The sequence below is a fragment of the Homo sapiens genome, chromosome 9, assembly GCF_000001405.40.
Source record: "Homo sapiens chromosome 9, GRCh38.p14 Primary Assembly".
Lineage (NCBI taxonomy): Eukaryota > Metazoa > Chordata > Mammalia > Primates > Hominidae > Homo > Homo sapiens.
In genome coordinates, this window is record NC_000009.12 from 23,590,262 (window position 1) to 23,612,809 (window position 22,548).

General features: G+C 39.4%; 1 long non-coding RNA gene across 1 annotated transcript in view; it reads right to left on the minus strand.

The window, feature by feature from the left end:
- LOC101929563 (uncharacterized) overlaps positions 1–22,548 on the minus strand; it is a 171,709-nt gene that overhangs the window by 89,571 nt on the left and 59,590 nt on the right. The window contains exons 10-11 of the long non-coding RNA NR_121602.1: positions 14,521–14,840; positions 12,424–12,523 (exon numbers count right to left, since the gene is read on the minus strand). This is a non-coding gene — a long non-coding RNA (uncharacterized LOC101929563). The remainder of the gene's footprint in view (positions 1–12,423; positions 12,524–14,520; positions 14,841–22,548) is intronic.

Genomic DNA, 22,548 nt, shown 5'->3' on the forward strand with positions numbered 1-22,548 from the left:
ATAGTATCAAATCTCAGAGATTCAAAGGAAGATATGGGTTAGGACTAGACTATTAGTGAAGGTCCTGGTGGTCTTTGAGAGCAATTTTAACAGAGCTATGTGGGCTTTCAACAGATTGAAAGAGGTTAGAGAGAGAGAGAGAGAGAGCAGGAAGTGGAGGCAGGGAAAGTGTAGGCTACAACTTTTGGGAAGCAGACAGCCTGAGGCACGTAGCCAACCATCTGGTTCTAAACTACTTTTCCAACTTTATCCACCATTTTGCTCCAAGAAATAATTTTCTCCATATTGCCTTGTCATGTGTCTATCACCTGGCTACACCAGACTCATTCTGAATATTCTGTTTTCGCATCCACTCTATACCTTCAACCTCTCTGCCCATTAGAAGTTGCACATTGAGGCTTACACAGTCTGCATTGTGTAAGACTCAGATCATGTCCTAATGCCTCATGAATCATTTTCCATTTATTTCACCTATACTGATTTCTCAGATCTCATAAAGTAACTAGCAGAATAACCTGGACTATGCATGCTTCATTTCCTTGTGAAGAATGTTATACTGCTATTTAAATAATCTGCATACAAAGCAAGGGAGACTTAAGCCTCCCTATGAAACCGAAAGTAAAACTTATTTGCCTTTTACATTGTAGAAGTTCAGGCTCTGATAATGGAGTTGGGCAAGAACTGTAGACAGCCTGAAGGAGAGAATGCTGAAAGAAAAAAGATTCCCTCAGAAGTTGGTGGAATGGAAAAATACAGATGTAATTAGTTATAAAAATAATCAGAAGAAATAAACACAATTATACAATTATAAAATTTGATAGGCATAAGGAAGGAGGTGAGCTAAATCTTAAAGTCATGTGGGGCAACAGATAATGCATGTTTACCAATAAAGTAGTTTACACATATATTTTAGTGCTGGAATCACAACTAACAGAAGATCTAAAAATAGAAGTAGTTAAAAGTAGTTGAGTCTAGATAGTGAGTGGAAGCAGGGAGGGGCAGGGTCAGGGCACTTTAAAAAATACATAGGCTGTTCTTTTAATATTTGCTTTGTTTTTAACATGCATATCTATTACTTTGACAACAAAACATAAATAAAATAATTTTGGTATGCCCGTTACTTCAGTGGTCAGGTTGGACCACCTGGTTCAAATATTCATTTTTCACAAAATCCAGAGGAGTCCTTTGACGTGGGAATTTTCATTTGCAGTTCATTGTGTTTAGCTTAAGCATGGCTAATATATGGCAAATTTCAATTTCCATAAAGTAAGATTCTGTTACCAACTTCTAACTCCTACTTAGTAAGACATTGATAAACCCTAGCCCAGTGTACCTAAGAATGATATTTGCTTGGTAATGTTTAAATGCCAGATGATCTTTTCCATTCCAACTCTGTTCTTATTCCACCAAAGGGCACACTAGCATGTTGCTTTGTTGTATTAGAGTTCAGATTTTCAATTGCAAAACTTTTTCTCTGTCTATATCTGTAAGTGTTTAAAATTCAGGTTTTAAGTCAGCAACACAGTCAATTACACCACTAAGCAAACTTTACTTTCCATCAATACCATTCGCAAAAAGCCTTTCTGTCTCATTTCCATCTCTGGGCATTCTCTGCCCGGCTGCCTTGTGCTCTTTAGGCCACTGAGGTTGTTGAAAAGTCTTCATTTGCAAGCTCTTTTGTGGGAAGTGGAGCTTCCTGGTTGTATCATAACTAGAAACTGGCCTCCTGTTGGGCTGAAATCTAGCATCCTTATGTTTCCTTTTTAATTTTCTAAACTACCCTCCCACCTGTAGCTTCCTAGACCTTTTCTGTTTGGCTATTTCATACCCTGTGCCACGCAAGTTTTATTTGACACACCACAGCCATTCAGATATTTGTTCCATGTAGGTTAACTTGACAAAAATAGAGTACTAAGATATAGAAAACTACCAATGTGTCCCCCTACCCCTGCCTGCCACCATGCCATAAAGTTATTACAGACTGACTTGGATTTTGGATCCAATTTCTTCTTGAAAATAAGGCAGACTTTCCTAAGGTTGAAAAAGCATGTTTTAAAGAAAATAGAATGAAAAACAAGTCTACATTACAGCATGAAAGAGGAATTTCAAAATGTGTTTAATTTAAAACATCCAGTATGCCATTTGCTATAGTCTGAAAGGTCACCGGTTGCTTATGTTTTATTATTTTGCTTGGTTTTATTTTTAATAATTTTGATTCTGGAGATCCTGCATTTCAAATCCTAAAACCAGTGGCAAAAGCAAGTAAGCACCTAGCCAAGGTAAGGCTTTAATATCTGACTGGTAGAAAGAGACGCAGGAGGAAGACAGCAAAACAAGTCAATGTAACACTGCTGTTTGCACAGGCAGCTGCAGAAGCAAGGCAAGATCTGCAGATGTGGATGTCTGACCTTTAATCCAACAAGAGTCTCACTAAGGATTGAAAATAGATCATTTCAGTCTAGTAGGAAGGTTTGAGACAGATGTGCTGACAGAAGAAGAAAGTCTGGCATTAAATTGTATAGGTATCTGCTGACCAGAAAAACACAGCTTCTAAGAAAAGAGCAAAACCATCAGGTCTCCTAATATTTTTTTGGCCACAGGGTTGGGAAATGAGATTGCAGATGTCAATATGGGACTACATTCTCAACAATTTAAGATTTGGTTTCAGTCACACATCCCAGGTGAATGTGTCCCTTCCAAAATTCAGGTATTGCCAATTTGATACTAATAGGAGATAAGGCCTTTAAGAGATGATTAGGCCACAAGACCTCCTCCTTTGTAAACAGGATTAGGTTCCCTTATACAAGGGCTTGACAGGAGTTTGTCTCTTTTTGCCCTTCTGTCTTCTGACCTGTGAGGACGCAGTGTTTCCTGCTCCAGAGGATGCTGCATCAAGGCGCCATCTTGGAAGCAGAGAGCCGCCCTCACCAAACAACTGTGGCACCTTGATTTTGCACTTCCCAGTCTCCAGAACTGTGAAAAAATAAATTTTTGTTCTTTATCAAGTTTCCAGTCTCAGGTATTTGTTATAGCATCACACAATGGACTAGAACAGTAAGGAACACAGATCTAGTGACATGTGATAATTTCTATCTCTGAAATTAGTATAGTTTACTTTTCTGTCCCAGGATGAATTATATCATCAAAAAAACAATAGCTTTAATGTAAATATAACTGACACTTCTCATATTGTTGTATGCTAGGCTCTGTGCAAAGACCTTACTTCATGACCTCTTCTCAGATCAATACTGAAAGTAAATGAATATCATTCCCATTTTAAAGACAAATGAAGGGTTAAGTAAGTCAATTAAGAGTTCTGCATGTCCCCACTCCACCAAAGGAAGAACTCAAAGCTAAACCTTTCAGATGATAAAACCAATGCTCTTTCAATTAAAAGCAAAGTAGATTATACAGTAAGATAAATCTGAATTTGCCTCCTAGCTCTACCATTTACTAGCTATCTAACCACAGGCAAGCCAATTTCTGGTAGTCTCACTATCCTTCTATTATGTAAAATGGGACTATTAGTCTACTTCTTGGGGGCATTCAGTAAGGTTAAATAAGATAATTTATCTTAAACATTTTGCAAGGTAGCTGGTTTATAGTACTCAATAAAAGACTAGACAAATATGTCTCTCCAATCTCTTTTTTTAAAGCCATCATAAGTATGAATTGTATTTTAGTATTTTAATTTTCAATTATTTCACTAATATTATTTGTGCATATACCTACGTACACTACAAGTGTGAAACTAGGACAATAATGTATCAAGACAAAAAGAGAATCAATTCTAGAGAACTTAGCTTCCAAAGAGATGCCTAGAACACAGAGAGATGAGACTAATCAGTGAGATGCCTTTAAAGAAAAAGATGCAAAGACACAAGGAATTGGTCAAGAGGAAAATAAGGAACAAAGGAACAAATACTTGTCACATTTTTAAAGAAAATTAGGAATTCAAATCCGTCTGCTCAATTTCCAATAAAAATTAAAAAAAAAATCAACAGAAGGCTAAGTCCACTCTAATAGTTGGATAAGAAGGAAATACAAACTGGAAATACCATTTGGCATTACATAGCAGGCTGGAGTGGCACCAAAGGAATCAACATGTCCCCAAAATATGACAGTAGCTTGAGACAAAACACAAGGAAATGCTGGAGCAAGGGGGAATAATCTAGGCTGTGGGAATGGGATTTGCTATTTCCTTTTGAATACTGGACCCTACTTTTGTAAAATGTTGAATGAGGACTGCACTCTACTCTATTCTGCACTTTGATTTCCATATACCTACTCACGTGTCAGTTGCTTTAACTGCCAAGAGCATAAGCCATCAATTGCCAGGGAGAAAAGTCAAAGAAGAGCCTTTTTTCTCCTGTGTCTTTCAGTTAGAGTAGGCATAAAGGAACTGACTGCTACAATTCACTTTCTTTGTCTGACAGAGAATAATGATGCTTCTTTTCTCAATGTCTCTTAATCCTTCCTAACTAGTAGAGAAAGGCTGGTGTACCATTTCTCACTAACATGTTAGAAAAAGTAGTCCCCCAAATTAAGAGAACCCCCATTTCTCAACGTCTTGATGATTTCCAGAGTTTTTTTTTTAACTAATATACAATTTTTAGAGCAGTTTTAGATTTATGGAAAAATTGAGCAGACTAAGTATAGAGTTAATGTACATTCCATATATTCCCTTTCTCTTCCCTGCCATAGTTTTCCTGTGTTAACATATTGCAGTAGTGTAGCACATTTGTTCCAGTTGAACTGACAGTCACATTACTAACTAAAGTCTATAATTTACATTAGAGTTCACTCTGAATTGTACAGTTCTATGGGTTTTGACAAATACATACTGTCGTGTATCCACTATTACAGTATCATACAGAATAATTTTACTGCCCTAAAACTTCCCTGTGCTCCACCTATTTATCACTTTCTCCCCTCAACCCCTGAGTCTCTTCGGCCATTTCTATAGTTTGCCTTTTCCAGAGTGTCATACGTTTGAAATCATACAGTATGTAGCCGTTTCGGACTGGCTTCTTTCACTTAGGAATATTCATTTAAGGTTTATGTCATTTCATTAAAGTTTTTTTTAACAACTCTGCATAACAAGAGTTGACTAAGTCATAGATACCTTAGTGTTGAAAAGTCAGCAAAATTACCTCTGACATTTAGGCTAGAACAAGCCTAAAGCCTAGCGCCCTCCCAAGATGTTGCACATTTTCCCTCAGTTTCTATTTCACAGCGTAACAATTTCCCACCAGGAAAACCTTCTTCATATCTGCACTAAATTGCTGAAATCCTTTTAGATTTTAGTGAGGATTCAATAGGATAGAAACGTTCTCTTTTTCTCATTCAACAGACATTTATTAAGCACTTATGTGCATTCAATACATTGTGTGCCAGACTTTGTGCTAGTAGCCACTAGAGGCGTAAAGATGAATAAAACCCAGTCCTTATTCTTAAAATCTAAATGTCTTTGTTCCTTCTAATATCCTTTGCATTCTTCCAATTAAAGCATGTTTTGCCTTGTCACTCTCCTTCCAGGGAAACTATTTAATACAATTACTCTTAGTTGCCAAACACACCAAATCAAGAATTAATGCCAAGCATGGAAAGTGCTACCATATTAACTTAACTAATCGAACTTCCATTATTTCCCAAGTATGCTTACAATTGTCACAAATTCATGTGACAAGAATATCCTTTGTAAGGGAAGGTTTAAACCAAGGTTATGACTTTGCTATCCATCTGATAAGACATGCATGTTCCTATCTGGTGCCTGCCATAATCTTCTTCTTGCAACTATAAAGATTCTCCAGCTCTAACTTCTTGGGCCACATTTGCCCTACTGCAAGCCACATGGGCAAACATTCTGCCACTCCACACTCCATACCATGAAGGGATGGGGACCCTCTGAAGCTGCCCGCCCCTGCCGGGGCACCTCTTGTAGCCATTCTCACCTACCAGCCTAAACCATGCTGGCCACAGTTGCTTCTCTATGACTCTGTACCTTCCCGGCCTGACTTTCTGGAAAGGAGGATACTTGGAAAGCAGAATTCCCACAGCTGTTTTGAGGTTTATCTGTGCTTCAAGTTTGAAAAGTTAATTCTGAAACCCAAAATCTGAGCATTGCCTATTCTATCTTTCTACAGATAGGCTATAGCAAACCGTAGGAGAGAAAAAAATGAAAACTTTACTACTGCCTGAAAGGGGAACATGGTAAATTTAGCAGAAAATATGGGGGAAAGAAGCATAGTTGTAGTATTTCAAAACATGGTTCCATTATATGAGTAGAAAATTCTAGGTTTATTTCTGCTTTGGGTTAATTAAAAAGTGACCTTGCCAAATGACGGTCAGTTGGATACCTCTTATCATCCTTCAGTGGTATTACATGGTTTTTCCTGGAACTACAGATCTGCATTACTTGGTTGGGGAGGAGTGGGTGGATATATTTAGAAACACTCAATAATTAAAATCACTTTCTACTTACCTTCTGCAAACACATCTTAATGATAGAGTTTCCTTCAATTCCATTAAAGCACAGTTTTAATGAAATCTGTTATCTCAGCTTCTTTTAAGGAGATATGTTCTCAGTAATTCTATTTTAAGGGGGCTATCTTTTCTTTCTAATGCTTACCGAGAACACACACACACACATGCACACACACACACAGTTTGCTGTGATCTCTCCAAAAATAAATTAAGAAGTAGTAAAAGAAAGTGAGTGGAGTTAGGCAAGAAAAAGCACCCAAGGGAAGCTGCTAGCTCTTTTCAAGTCCTCAGGAAAACAGCATAAACAAATATACCTTTTTAGCAGTGTAATCTTTAAATAACCTTATAAGAGTCATGATTCACTTTTAAGAACAGCTCCTTGAACTTCCTTCAAAGTTCCCATGGCCTTGCTGACGTCACCCTTCCAAGGATACTGAGGTCATACCTCTAGACTTTTTCTGGAAATACTCTGCACTTTATAGGAATGATTAATTTATGCAAAACTGCTTAATTACCTTGTGAAAAACACATAGACAGGAAATAGAGAAATCATGCATCAACAGACTAGCAACGTGGGTCATCTGCAATTCTTCATGTTCAAGACAACAACCTGCTTGTTAGTGAAGGGATGCTGTCCTAAAGATTTGTCAGATTGTGTTGGAACCTCCCTGAGATAGCAGGTGAACCCTAAGGGGATGTGGAGATTGGAGTTACAGGACCCAAAAGACAGCCCACTGGTGGCAGTAGCAGCTTCTGGATTCTGTCAGTGGGTATAATCTGTTAATTCAATTTGTCCTGGCTTCAGCTTCCCTTTGGACTTTGAGATCTGCTAAAAGTTTATGAGAGAAAAAAAAAGTGGGTAGCATTTGTTTTTCTTTATATTTCGTCTTCTAAACTCCCAGATGTCAATTGGTAGTAGTGGTAGTATTGGCAGCAGCAGTGGTAGTGCCAGTAGTAGTAATAGTTGTAAAAAGAACAGTAGCAACTAACATTAATTATGTCTTATAAAATGAGCACATAAAACTCTTATATCAAATCTGAGATATAGCTATTTACAATGTTCTTCTACAAAGGAAGAAGCTAAACCTCAAAAGGAGAGTGACTTATCTGCAATCACTCACAATTAGTAAAGGGCAGAGACAGAATTCAAGCCCAGACACTTGCCTCTAATACCCTTGATGCTGTGTGATAATATGTAAGACCATAAGATGAAAAGCCATTATCTCAGTCTCTGATTGAATACTATACAAAAGTAGTTTGTTGCTTCATTCGTATTCTGCTTATAAAAATACACTCAACAAATGACACCATGGTGTTTCACATTCTCTCCACAGTATTAGAAAACTCTGGCACAGAAGTTATCAATATTTAAAAAAAAATCCATAGGAGTTACCATCTTCTATTCACATTCAGCCAGATACAGATTTCTTTAACATACATTATTGACTACTAACAATGGGCAAAGCACTATACTAAGTGCCTCCACATACATATTTTGATGTAACCCTAATAGCAGATAAGGGAGATTGCATTATTTCCACTTGCTAGATGAGGCAATGTAAGAAAAAGAAGATAGTCATGAATCCATTTAATTATTAATTTATTCAACCAATATTTGAATATCTACTACATACCAGGCACCATTCTAGGTACTGGGGATGCAGGAATGAAAAAACAGACCCTGCTCGACCAAGGTTTAATTCAAGGGAAACACACACACACGTGCAATTCAAAAAGATGTCAGGACATGGTAAGTGCCATGAAGAAAAACTAAACAACACAAGGGATAAATATTGAGGTGGTGGTGACAGGGAAGCCCTTTTACATGGAAAGCCTCTCTGATGATGACAGTTAAGCAGAAACATGAAGTGAAGGAGTAGATATATGGGAAAAGAGCACTCTCACCAGAGACACATTTATCAAAACCGACTTCGTGCCAGTACTGAGCTTGGTACCGTAGATATAATGATTAATGAGGCACGGTCTTGACCTACCAGGAGCTTTTGGTCTATTTGTGAAGACATATATAAATACATTATTATAGTATGATCCATACACGTTCAGGGCATTATGAGCAGGGCCAGGACTAGGACAAGGCAAGCAAACAACTTCATTTTAAAAGCAGACAACACCAGGATGGCTGATTTTTGTCTTGTGCCTCAGGTTCTAGTATGGCTCTGCATGGCACTGATTATAAGTACATACAGGAAAGGTTTCTTACCCTCTTCCTGGGGACCGGTGGTCCTGGAACTGATTACATATGAGCTGAGCCTTAACTGATAGTAGCAGCTAAATTCAGTGCCTTGTCAGAGTCACAGAGCCCAGGAAGTGTACAACAAGGCTTCAAAATACACATTTCTATATTAAAGATCATGGCTATATCTACCTGATCAGCATTTCCTGAAGTATGTTTGCTGTGTTTGCAGAGCAGTGAATCCACAGGATATTAATAAGTATTACTGGAAAAACTGGTTTGGTGATCAAATAAGCTTGAGAACATTCAGCATATAAGAATTTTAACCGGCTTCTTTATTGAAGAACTTTTCAGAGACTTCGTAAGCAAACAATACCCACCACTGAGAGAAGCATTTCTTCCTTCACAAGGACAACAGAGAAGCAAAGTGCAACCAAACAACAATAATGCAACTATTGTTTATTGTGTGTATTACAGGCCAGCACTTTACACATACATATATACATGCAAAGTACAAACTATGCAATATATGTGTGTGTGTGTGTATATATATATATATACACACATACACACACACACACATATATATATATATACACATATATATGTATACGTGTGTGTACGTGTGATTTCATCTTTATAATAACCCTGGAAGATACTTGTTATTATTTCCATTTTGCAGTTGAGAAAAACTGAAGGATTTAAAGACTCTAACAATTAGCCTGAAGTTATGCAGTTTATATGTAGCAGACCCAAAGGCTTTGACTCCAAAGTTTGTGTTTTCTTAGACACTATACTGCCACTCTGGAGTCTAGGTAATATTCAGAGACTGCACAAAAGCTGGCGAAAGTACCTCTGGTGGATTCACGAATTTGAATAATAAACCAGAACAGTATTAATTCCAAATGATTTGGGAAACAAGCCTATAGAACAAAATGAACTATGAAGATGCTGAAGTTTGCAAAGTCGATTTTGGTTTGGTTGTTTTCTGAGCCCCGTGTGTATCCACCTATCTTGCAGGTTTCTGGTAATTATGAAAAACATACCATTTTCCGAGTTTTTTTTTCCGTAGATAATACTGTTTTACTCATTTTTTTTTCATTCAACTGAGAGTGTATGCAACGATCCTCTGTATATTCTGAACCCAACAAGGCAAGGATCTTGGGTTATGTCAGCCTTGCCTTCCAACCACATGACCGGTTGGGGTTGTCCTTTCTATAGCCACAAACACTTAACCCAGTCAAATTTCTTCCATGATCAAAGGGGCTGACTTACGAGCAGGAACTTCATGAGCAAAATGCATAAAAATATAAGATGAATATCAAAGGGAGACCCAGGTGGCAGATTCCCTGTGTTATTTTTAGTTAGACCACCAAAACCTTTTTGTCTTCATAAACAGAACCTATCTGGATTCAGCCTTATTCCTTTGGAGAAGCTGATTAAATAAGAAAGGAATTTTGCCACTAATAGGCAATGCCCAACAAAAATGAGGCTCTTGTGGCTCATCTCAAAAGGAAAAGCTACAAGAAAGCACTGAATTTGCAAAGAAGTGAACCTCATAAATTGTGCACAAAAAGGTTTTGAAGATTCAGATAAAAAGCTCAGTTCCAGCATGACCATCTGTTATGTCCCCCTAAAAGAAGATAACTAGTAGTTTATAAAAGCAATAAAACAGTTCCAGAGCTCAAAGGCAATAGTAAGGACTTCCAGTTACAAATCAGGGAACATGCAGACTGATATCCAACTGAGCGTGCTTCCATTACCCCCCGCACTGCCTCTCCAGTCAGAAACAAAGATTCTCTAGTTACTGGTGTCTGATCTACTCGTTTTCTCCCTCAAAGGGATTATGATTGGGCATCAAAGCTGCTGTCCCTCTTTCCTTCTGTTGATGTGCACTGCTTAATTTTTTTTATCTGGCTACCTTTTCCATACACATATATCATCTTTGACCTCTTCCATCTCACTCTGCCTCAGCCTCTTCCAAGTCTTATCCACTTTTCTTAGCTCTCCACCCCCACCCCACCATTTGATTGAGTAGTGAGCCAAGACTGGAATCATATCCGGACTAGTCAGTATGAGAAGTCAATGATATACCTGGTCAAAAAGAAGAAAGTTTAACCATAAACCAGATAAATCAACTCCTGAAACTGAAATAAAAGGCTCCCATAGTTTCTCCCCTCAAGCCTCCTTCCCAGCTTCTTAATCGAGCTTTGCAGTCAAGAGTTTGGGCAAAGGCTTGTGCTGCCTGGACCGTAATCTTGGCTGTGCACTTTCTGGATATCTGACCATGGGTGAATTACTTGACCTTTAAATCCCTCAATTTCCTCATTGGTAAATTGTGCACAGGATTAAATGAAATAACTTATTTAAAGTGTATAACACAATGCCTCACAAATTTTTAAGTCCACAATTAATGTTACTCATCATTATCAGCAGCAACAGCAGCTACATCTTTCTCCAATTAAACTGTTATTTTTTTGCTCTTACCCTCCTTTTGTAGTAATTACTGACTGCAACTATATTTTTCCTATTCTTTTATTACAAACACACACTAAAATTACTTAAATAATCATAGGAGCCTAGCTTTGGCCAATGATAATGTTAGAGGAGGTGAAGCCAGGGGAAGACCCAGGCTACCTGGTGGGTACCCAGTTCAGGGCCTGACGTTCAGATCACAGGCTCTGCTCGAGGTCTGATTTTGTCAGCTTGCTAAGAATGGACCCATCTCTCAAGGGGTACATTTGAATTAATCAAACTCAGGAAACATTTATAGAACTGCAACACCTATCTTTTAATTTACAATAATAAACATAATTATGACAGAGCTGTAATACTTGTGGCAACAAAACCAGAGAAATGTCTCCCTGTAGATCTATATAAGAAGCCCAATTTTAACCAGAAGTTATTAGGCGAGTATGCAAATAAAACAAGAGAGTTAGCTGATTTTAGCTATACTCCCTAAAACAGGCTGATGCATCTATTTTCCAGAGAGACAGATCTTTCAGCAGTCATTGGCTAAAGCTCCCTCTACAATATGTAGTACCACCTGGGGATGCTGCCAGTGGTTGTTCAAGGGGCTAATTTCTCAGTTCTTCCAGGGCTAAGAACTGAGTTTCCCTTCTTTGAGTAACATTCTTATAGGCCCCAAAGCTATTTTGCTTCTTAAAGGTAACTTTGCATATCTCTGTTCTGATCAATTTTATACTAATTTTATAGTTGCACTCCCTAGGGGGTATTTTTTTTCCCTTACACATAAGCTCTTGGGTTGAACCTCAACATACTAACAGCATTTACTATTTCCATTACTTTGCAGGGAAAATAGGTATGTGGGAAGATGGGGGCTACTGAAGGTCCAGTTATGTATCATATTACTTTCCAGAAAAATTAGCTTCAAGTTCCAAGTAAATAACTTTACAAATGTATCTGACACTTGCTCCCACACCCTCCATCTCTATTAATAAACTAGCCTTATGCTAACTTCATTTTTAAGCTAAAGAGTTTCTATTTCTAACATACCTCTTCTCAATGATAAAGAGGTCATTATAATTTTTGGCATAAATGTGGCAAAAAGAAAATGGTGACACTTGTACCACCTACATGATCTGCAAACCACAGTTAAGAGTTGTTAATAACATGAGAAATTTTTGAATTTAAAGGGTTAAGTGAAAGGAATCAAGATTAAAAGTCATATATTCAGAATACGGGCAGTATACCATAGAATTCATCCTTGCTCCGAAACTTACTGCCTGGGGCAGATGCCTTACTCTGCTGTGTCTAATCAGATAAGCCAGTGATGTATCTTTTTGCTTCAGTTTCTTCATCTGGGAAATGGGAAGACCGTGCCTACATCATAGATTGTAATGAGGATGAAATGAGTTAATATCGGTGAAGTATTTAGAACAGGGACTAACACATAATAATCACTCAATAACTGTTAGCTCTTTATCATCTCCACTACAAAAATACAATTAAAAAACTAGGGAGAATATATCCAAACATTATTATCTACCTCTGAAAAGGGCTTTCTTCCTCTTTATAGTGTCCTGTGCTTTCTCCAAATTTTGTCTAACGCCCATATACTACTCAGATAATAAAAAAAATAAACTTTTTCAAAAAATTAGCTCAGTTGGTAACTTTTAACCTGAAATAATGTTTGCCAAAAGCCCCTTTAATGATGCCACTCTAGATTCATAACTGCATCACTTTTCTACTGCTGCCGTAACTACTTACCACAAACACAGTGGCTTAAAATGATACAAACGCATCATCTTACAGTTCCACAGGTCTGAAGCCTAACACAGGTCTCCGTGTGCTACGATCAAGGTATGAGTAGGGCTACGTTCCTTTGTGGAGACAGGAGACCACTGAGTTGCACTGCCTAAAATAGTAGCTGTAGCCATACATAGCGATTTCAACTAATTACAATTGAATAATATTACAACTTCAGCTCTTCCATCACTCTGGCCACATTTCGAGCTCGGTCGCCACGTGTGGCCAGTGGCTTCTGCATGGGACAGCACAGATGCAAAACACTCCCATCACTGCGCAAAGTATGGACAGTGCTGAGCTAGAGATGTGACTCATATGGACTTACTCACTGGCGTTCTTGTGCTTTAGGCATCTTTTCAGATACAAATGGGCTCAAGTCAATCTCCTGTTTAAAATTCTTCTCTGGTGTCTATTGCTTATAACATTTTCCCAACATTTTAGAGCTATATAATTCAAACCAAATCTTATATATACATCATAAAATGTAGCTGCTGTCATTATAACTCTAGTAGGTGCTTCAAGACCTCCATTAGCCTCATTCCGCTGTAAATATCTGAGCACTTTGATACTATCTGTCTAAAGACAAAGTGAAACTCCTTAGCATGGCATAAAAAACTGTTCTTCATCTAGTCCCCGCCCCTTCGCTCTTCCCCAGAGACCACTCCACTATTCCCTTTCACCCTTCTGTAACTTCATACATGAAATCCCCTCTACTGCAATGTCTTTCTCTCTTTCCTTTTTCTTTCTTTTCTTTTTTTTTTTTTTTTTGAGACCAAGTCTCACTCTTGTCACTCAGGCTGGAGTGCAGTGGTGCAATCTCGGCTCACTGCAACCTCCGCCTCCCGGGTTCAAGCAATTTTTGTGCCTCATCCTCCTGAATAGCTGGGACTACAGGCATGTGCCACCATGCCCAGATAATTTTTGTATTTTTAGTAGAGACGGGGTTTCACCATATTGGCTGGGCTGGTCTCGAACTCCTGACCTTAAGTGATCTGCCCACTTTGGCCTCCCAAAGTACTGGGATTACAGGCATGAGCCACTGCGCCTGGCCTCTTTCTCTCTTTTCTACCTACAAAACTCCTCCTCAGCCTTCAACCTCTAACTCCATGTTCGCCATGGGGAGAAGCCTCCTGATGGAGAATTTTCACTCAGGCCAGGTGTTCTCATACATATTGAGAGCAATCACATGGATAGACCTTTAAGGACTTTTCTGTGAATCCCCAAAATTGTATGCATAATTTCATGTGTAGGTACATTTAGAAGGTACATGCTCTCTGGTTTTTCTACAGTTATTAACTGGCCAGTGACCCCAAAAGTTTAGGAACAGTGCTAGAGAAATTTCAGGGTTCAAACAGGAGTCCTTTCAGCACTTTATGATCCCTCTTTTAATCTGTTTCCAAACATACCTTTTTATTTTTAAATTTCCTTACACAAATACAGTCATGTACTGCATAATGATGCTTTGGTCAATAATGGACTGAATGTAAAATGGTGGTCCCATAAGATTATAATACCGTATTTTTACTGTGCCTTTTCTATCTTGAGATATCTTTAGATACACAAATACTTACCATTGTGTCATAAATGCTTACAGTATTGAATACAGTAACATGCTGTACAGGTTTGTAACCTAGGATCAACAGGCTATACCATAGAGGCTAGGTATGTAGTAGGTGTATACCGTCTAGCTTTGTGTAAGGACACTCCATGATATTCGCACAATGATGAAACTGCCTCATGATGCATTTCTCAGAATGTATCCCTGTCTTTAAGTGACACAGGACTGTGTATATAGTCAATTCTGCAGTCTTGTCTTCAGGTTAGAAGCATATGCCCCATTCTGGTTCATTCTCTCATGACATAGAACGCCAGGTTCTCCAACATATGCTCTCTACAAGAAAAAAAAAAAAAGAAAGAAAAGGTAAGGCAGTGCACATTACTGAACTAGGAAAATATCTCTACCATTATTAATTCAACTTTGTATATTTTAGAAGACAATACTAACAGCAATTACAGAGGTCTTCACGTGCCAGGTACAGTGCTAAGTGGTTTACATATAGTATCTTAATTAAGCCTCAAATCCCTTGAGAAGTATTATCTCAATTTTTACAGATGAGAAAACAGGCTTAAGTTACACAGCTAGTAAATGGAACACTGGGATTCGAGCCCAGGCCATCCAATAAGTGGGTATTAAATTCACTGCATTCTTGTAGTGTTCTTAGTTCTACCTGAATAATCACTGTAAAGGATCTCTCTTAAAGTGATATTTGTGGCTGTCTAAACTTAAAGATCCCAAGGAAAAGCGTGAAGATGTTAGGTGAAATGTTAAAATCATTCCCTTTTAAAATGGAGACAAAGGATAGCATTATACAGTGACTATATGTTAGATAAAAACATATCATGAATCTACAAATAAGGCTGTCACTCACCGACTATATTTCTCTAGGGAAGTTCCTTAAACTCTCAGTGCACAGTTTCCTGATATGCATAATGGGGGCCATAAAAATATTTGGTTCTTGAAAATAAATAACATAGGTATGATGGTTAATTTTAGGTGTCTACTTGACTGGGCTAAGGGATGTCCGGATAGCTGGTAAAACATTATTTTGGGGTGTGTCTGTGAGGGTGTTTTTGGGAGGTATTAGCATTTGAATGGGCAGACTGAGTAAGATCACTCTCACCAATGTGGGTGTGCATCTTCCAATCCTTTGAGGGCCCAAGTAGAACAAAAAAGCAGAGGAAGGATGAATTTGCTATCTTTAGTTGGCTTGTGACATCAATCTTCTGCCCTTGCATACTGGCATTCCTGGTTCTGGGGCCTTTGGACTCAGACTGAATCACACTACTGGCTTCCCTTGTCCTCTAGCCTGCCAATGGCAAACTGTAGGACTTTTCAGCCTCCAGAATTGTGTGAGCCAATTCCTATAATCAATTTCCTCATAGACAGATAGATGGATAGGCAGGCAGACAGACAGACAGAGCCTACTGTGTTTCTCTAGAGAACCCTAATGCAATGATGAAATACATGTTAGTAATGGTCATTACTGTTGCTGGAAAACAGGTTTGAGGTGGAAGAATATTCTTTCTGATTTATTGGCCTTCCTAAGTGAGCTAAGATTACTGAGCTGAAGGTTGTTAAGACTACCTGCTCTTCTGCTTTTGTCTAAGAAGGAAATGAATCAGAGAAATAAGACTCCTGCTTCATATGTAAGAGTTTTATGGGGTAGTGACCAGTGATAAATGTGTTATTCTCTAACTATCAGGAGTTGGAGCGAAGCAGGCAGATGAGACCATTAAAAATATGAGCCCCTAAACACATTGGGGCTACTGCAGCTGGCTTTATATCCAGCTCATCAGAATGACATCTTAGATCTAGCCCTGCTCCTCCAGATCTCTCCAGGACTGGGTGCACAAAGCCAACCAAATGAACTCTGGTCCACAAAGAGACACTAACATTATGTCTGTTATAACCACATCTGCTCCAGGAAATATTTCATGACCCATAAAAGTCCTCTATCTTGGTGGCCAGGAAGGGAAAATGCAATGGCTAAGTGATGAATTTCTCTTTTGGTTTGCGGCCACGTCTTAGTTTGGCTGCTATAACATGCATTTATAATTCTGGAGTCTGGAAGTCCTAGATCAGGGTATGAGGTTCTTGGTGAGGGTTGTTTTCCTGGTTTAAAGATGGCCCCTCTTTATTGCTGTACTCTCACATGACGTAGGTGTGGAGATACACAGACACAGACACACATACACACACACACACACACACACACCGAGACAGAGAGAGAGAGAGAGAGAGAGAGAGAGAGAGAGACAGAAAGTACATGAGCTCTGGCCTCTTTATCTTTTTGTAAAGGTATTAATCCCATTCATGAGGCCTCTGACCTCATGGCCTAATTACCTCCCAAAGGCCACACCGCTGAACACATTGAGAACTTAGGCTTCAACATACTAATTTTGAAAGGTACAAACATTCAGTCCACAGCAAGCCATGAAACCAAAAATGCTCTTATATTCTGGTTTTACATGTAGAGTATTAAAGAGAGCTTCATGCAGATGAACCTCACAGGATAACAGAAGTTGAAGTGTGTGGTTTTAACTTGTAAAGTTATTCCATACAGGGTATTTTACAATTTTTGAGTTAACGCAAGGCTATCCTATAATTTTCAATGAAGAATTTTGCATACTTCTATTAATGCTTGACATTCTAAAGCCATGAAACACACTTTCCGTTCCTCCACAGTCTCCCCAGCTGTCTACTTGCTGTCCCTTAAACATACTGAACCCATTCCTGACTCCTAGATTTAGCTCCTTAGTGTTCCATTCTCCATGTGGAACACTTTTATCTCTGCATATTCAAACTTATCTAACCTTCACATTTTGTCCCAAGCCCCATCTTATATTTAGATGTTAAGACTTCTCCAATTCCTGCCATCTCTAGTCACCTTGCTTACAACTGTGTATATTCCACAGTGAATTAATGTACTCTATGTGCCAGGAAGTGTGCTGGGCACTGGAGATGCAGCAGTGAACAAAACAGATGAGTGGTAAACAAGGCAGAGGAACAATCAGACAAAAATTAAAATTATATTTCTATAGTAAAAGGTAATATGGCAAGATTACCAAGACGGACTTCAGAATGAGAAGAGATCTCACCAGGTTTTCTGAGACCTAGGGTGATGCTAGATTGGGTCAGACCTCACTGTGAGCTGTCCTGGGAAAGAATCAAGGTTTGAGACTAGTAGTTACCACCACCCAATGAAGTGTAGATAGAAATAAACCACCAGTACACACACAGTTTATTGTGGATAAGTCTGGAGTTATGCAAAGCCTATCCTCTCCTCTCAAGATTTAGCGTACTGTACCATTAATGACACACTTCTTTGCCTCCTTTATAAAATGAACAGGTCTTTTTAAGTTCTGGTAGTTATCGCTCTTTCAAAATATCATATCAATGCTATCTTTCTTCAAGCAGCATAAAGTGAATTTTGAAGTGTTTTATTCTGATGATGTCCCTTGAAAGATATCCACTTGTTAAGTATCTCTCATGTAATTTTCAGTCTAAAGTCCATCATCTGTAGACAGAAGTGAGGACAGCACAGTTGGAAAGAGGCCTAAAGCTGTTATTTTAAACAAATAGCTAGTTACAAGTGCTGGTGAGGGAGAGCTTTTCCATTTCTCTTTTCATACACAGACTAGCTTGTCACTGCAGCATTTGTGTCCCTCATCTGATCAGCTAGAGGGGTGTCCAGAAATCCCCTAGCTACAATAGCCACTTGCAAACTCCAGATACATCAAAACAATGATTAATAAAATATATCTATAAGCGTGTTTACAGTCACAGGGGGTTAAGAGGGAAATGAAATAGCAGCTATTGCAAACTCCTTTCCCCTGGAATTCATAATTTATTTACCTTGTCTGTCCTGTTCCCGGTGTGGCTACAATCAATTGCATTCCATGTCAACTCCTAGTACCACAGTCTACTGTGCCTGCATTTCTAGCTGTACACACTAAAAATTCTATGAACACTTTCAAGAAAATATCAACATCTACATATTAGTTATCCAGGTGAAATATAATTGCTACTAGAAAACGATCTGGGGGGCCTATTCTTCCCTGTAGAAGTGTCCTTAGAGAGAAGTATATTAATCAGGGTAGGCTAAGTGAGGAAAGAACCCCAAAACCTCAATGACTTAATATAATCAACAATTATTTCTCATCTATGCCAAATGTAATGTGGATATTCCTGGTCTGGCTGTTCTCCTAAACACAAACTAGGGGATCCAGGTTCCTTCCAACTTTTACTGTTTGCAACTGCAACATAACATACCACTATTTTCATGCAATAATATGAGTGTAGGCATGGCCTACCAAAAATTTAACCACCTCTTCCAAAGTAACACATAATAATTTAGGTTCACATTAAATAAGCCAGAAATAGCCAAAGGCCTCACCTAGATTCAAGAGCCTTGGGAAATGTAAACCCGGCAAAATGGCATTCAACCTCCTGGAAAGGGAATGCCACGTTGCCGGTGATCAGCTAGCCATCTCTGTTCTGAGGACCTAATGTAGACATATTTTTTAAAAACACACACACACACATGATCTACCAATCTCAACTCTTACCAATCCTCCAGGAGATTATCAATGCCTGGCTCCTAAGTCCTCACAGTGATACAGTCCCGGTTTAAAGACAGGGGCTTAGGAGGCCAACAAACCTAGATTCAAATTCTAACCCATCACCTAGCAGTGGTGTGACCTTGTGCAGATAGCATATCCCTTCTCTGCTTCACCTCAACAATGGAGATAACCCTCATATTTTATTCACAGGGTTGTTGTGAAAATTAAATGATGGGGCGTCTCAATAAAGATACCCCCAAAATGAGAACAAAAGCTGTTTAATTAGAACTTGATGTAACAAGGAGTCAGCCACTGTCACTTGCATTTGCCAGAGTCAAGGTCAGGCAGGGAATGAGAAAACTTTATAATGAAAAAAGGGAAGGCTTCAGGTATGCTTTGATTGGAGGCTGCTGGCATGGGGAAGCTAGATGGGCTAACCAGGACCAGACATCTTAAGTGATTGGCTTGCGAAGCATATTGGACTTTCTCTGCTTGATCCTGAGTGGTAACTGGCAAAAATTAGGGGAGCAGAGGGTCACTAACCAAGTCCTGATAATAATGGGCTGATGCTACAGAAGTTGTGGTGTGGTGCCCCGGGTTGGTGGCTGTGCAGTTCCTGAGTCACTTGTCACACATGGTCTGGCCTTTGCCCCTTTGCTTGCTCAGTCTCTCATGAGCCATTATTTTTTCCAAATTGGATGGTGGGTCTACTCTTCTTTCACAGACAAAGGTGATCTTCCCAGTTCTCCACTCCTATGGAAGAACTTTAATCAGAATTTTTATGTTCTTAGGCCCTTGTGTTAAGGGATGAGAGGCAGGGAAAATACAAGACAATAGCTTTAAATTCTGTGCTGTCTGGCAAAGCCAGGTCTACCACTAAGCTACACTGCATAGAGCAAATCTCTCCATAGCCAGGTGAAGCCACTATTAAAGAGCAATAGTGTGTTCTACAGTGCTGTGAATGAATGGGCTTTCCAGGATGCTGGAGAGCTGAGGGCAGAGAAACAGTGCTCAGAAATGCCTACACACTGATTGCCATTTCCCCCAGGTGAGGATGGAATGCTCTGACCTGAGTTTGGCTCAACAACCAGCAGAGCCTAAAGTTTGCAAATATCTCCTTGAAGAATTAAGTACAGAGATTTTATTGAGTGTGTAGATTCGTTATGAATGGTGAGCAAAGGCACAATATAAAGTGACTCTGACCCAGCACAAACTTAAGCTTCTTGGATCCTGCAAGACCTTACCTTACATGGATAATGTTACCAGCAGCTACATGCCCCCACCTCACCCATTACAGACTCTGGGGCCCAGGTGAAGCGGCAGGAAGATATTCTGCAGCTGCTTTTGCTGTGTGTTGTCATATCGCTTCTGCTAAGTTTCTGTATCCTTGACTAAGCCTCACACAGCATGTGTGTGTGTGTGTGTGTGTGTGTATACATGCACACTTGCACTCCAGGGTTTGGATGGTTTTCATCATTAAAACATAGACCACTTGAAATTATGTAGGTGTCCTGGGTCAGACCACAGGTGGTGGCCAGTCTCAGCCACAAGCCTCAAAAGAGACATGTAGCACATTTGAAGAAAGCAACCAGGACAAAGAGAGACTTAAATAAATGACACATGAGAATGAATAGTTGAAGAATGAAAGGAAGGAAGGAACTAGGGGATGTTAAACCTGGAAAAACTGATTCCTGCTAATAGCACCATCCAAAAATTCAATGTGTTTTCCCTGGATTGGCAGGAGGTAAACTAGCTAAGTCTCTATCCCGGGACACATTTGAACAAATGTAACAATACTATGTTTGAAATGTTCATTGACTCCTTCTGTCCACCTCTAAGACTTTTCTTTTCCCTCGTAGCCCTTGATTCTTTACAAGCAGCCAAGATGCCTGTCCTCATTGCCTCTGGGAAGGGATGAACACAAAGCAGAGGAAAATGGAGCCCTTTTTTATATTTGTATTCCAAAGTCTAGACTCCAGGGAATGAGAACGGGAAAAAAAAATCTCCCACTATACTAGAAACCAAAACCATGCTCTGAGGCAGAAGGTGGAGACAGACTTAGAGGTTTTTGAACTCAGAGTCTGTGAAGCTCAGGATGACAGCATTTACCTGGAGAGACCCTGTAGGCAAGAACCAAGTCAACATTTGCAGATGGTCCAAATTTCCCTGGAACAAGGTCCATACACACTGCCTGTGCCTCAGGGTGCTGCATTCTGCCTGCTTCAGTATTTTAAGTACACGGATGCCTGCCCGGGAGGCAAGAAGCATGTGAGGGGCAAGACTTCGCACAGCCCCTGGAAGACTCATCTCCTGAGGGGAACTCACTCCCACTACAGCCTCACAACAGTCCAGATGTTTAGACTTCAGAGATTAAAGGGCGGAGAGTGGAATGCTAAGCACCTAGCAAGATGAATTTGGTGATAAAAGGCCTAACTACTACGCTTTGGCAGAGTTGAAGAGACCAACCCCACATCCCCCTGAGCCAGGAAAGTAGAAAATTACACACAGACTGAATGATCACTTGGCATGGGGTTATGTAAAGGAAATCAAATTAGGAGTCTGTGATAGTTGGGGTTCTCCAGAGAAACAGAACCAATAGGGCGTGTGTGTGTGTGTGTGTGTGTGTGTGTTTGTGTGTGTAAAGGGACTTATCATAAAGAACTTGCTCATGTGATTATGAATGCTGAAAAGTCCTAACAGCTGCAGGGTGAGTTGGCAAGCTCAGAGACCCAGAGGAAATGGGATATAGTTACAGTCTCAGTTCCAAGGCCTGTGAATCAGAAGAGCTGATGGTGTAGTCCCAGTTGGAAGGTCAGCAGGTTCAAGACTCAGGAAGAGCCGATGTTTCAGTTCAAGTCCAAAGGCAGAAAAAAGCCAACATGTTAGTTCTAACGCAGTCAAGCAGGAGGAAGTCTCTCTTACTTGGGGGAGGGTCAGACTTTTTTGTTCTAGAAGCTCTCAACTGCTTGGATGAGGCCCGTCTACATTAGAGGACAATCTGCTTTATTCAGTCTATCAATTCAAATACTAATCTCCTCCAGAAATATCCTCACAGACACACCCAGAGTAATGTTTGGCCAACTTTCTGGGTACTCTGTGGCCTAGTCAAGTTGACTTGCAAAATTAACCATCAACAGGGTCTCAATGGGATGATGATGAAGACCTTTCCAAACATAGATCTACGGTGTTTAATCAGGAGGGGATACAGGCATCCAGAACTTGGAAAAAAAGAAAATGCACTGGGGAATTTGTTGAGGCTTATGATGTTTGCCTTATCTTGCTGATGTTTCTTTCTAGGAATATTTCAGTGTAGCCAGTCTGTGTTCATCTTCAGTGGAGCATCCAGCTATGGCATAAGTGCTTTGCACAGTTTTGTAGTTAAATCCATGTTATTTATCCAGCATAAAACCAATTTTTTAGAGACATAAATAGCAAAAATTTTCCAAGGCTATAAAAATTGTTCTTCCAACTTTCCG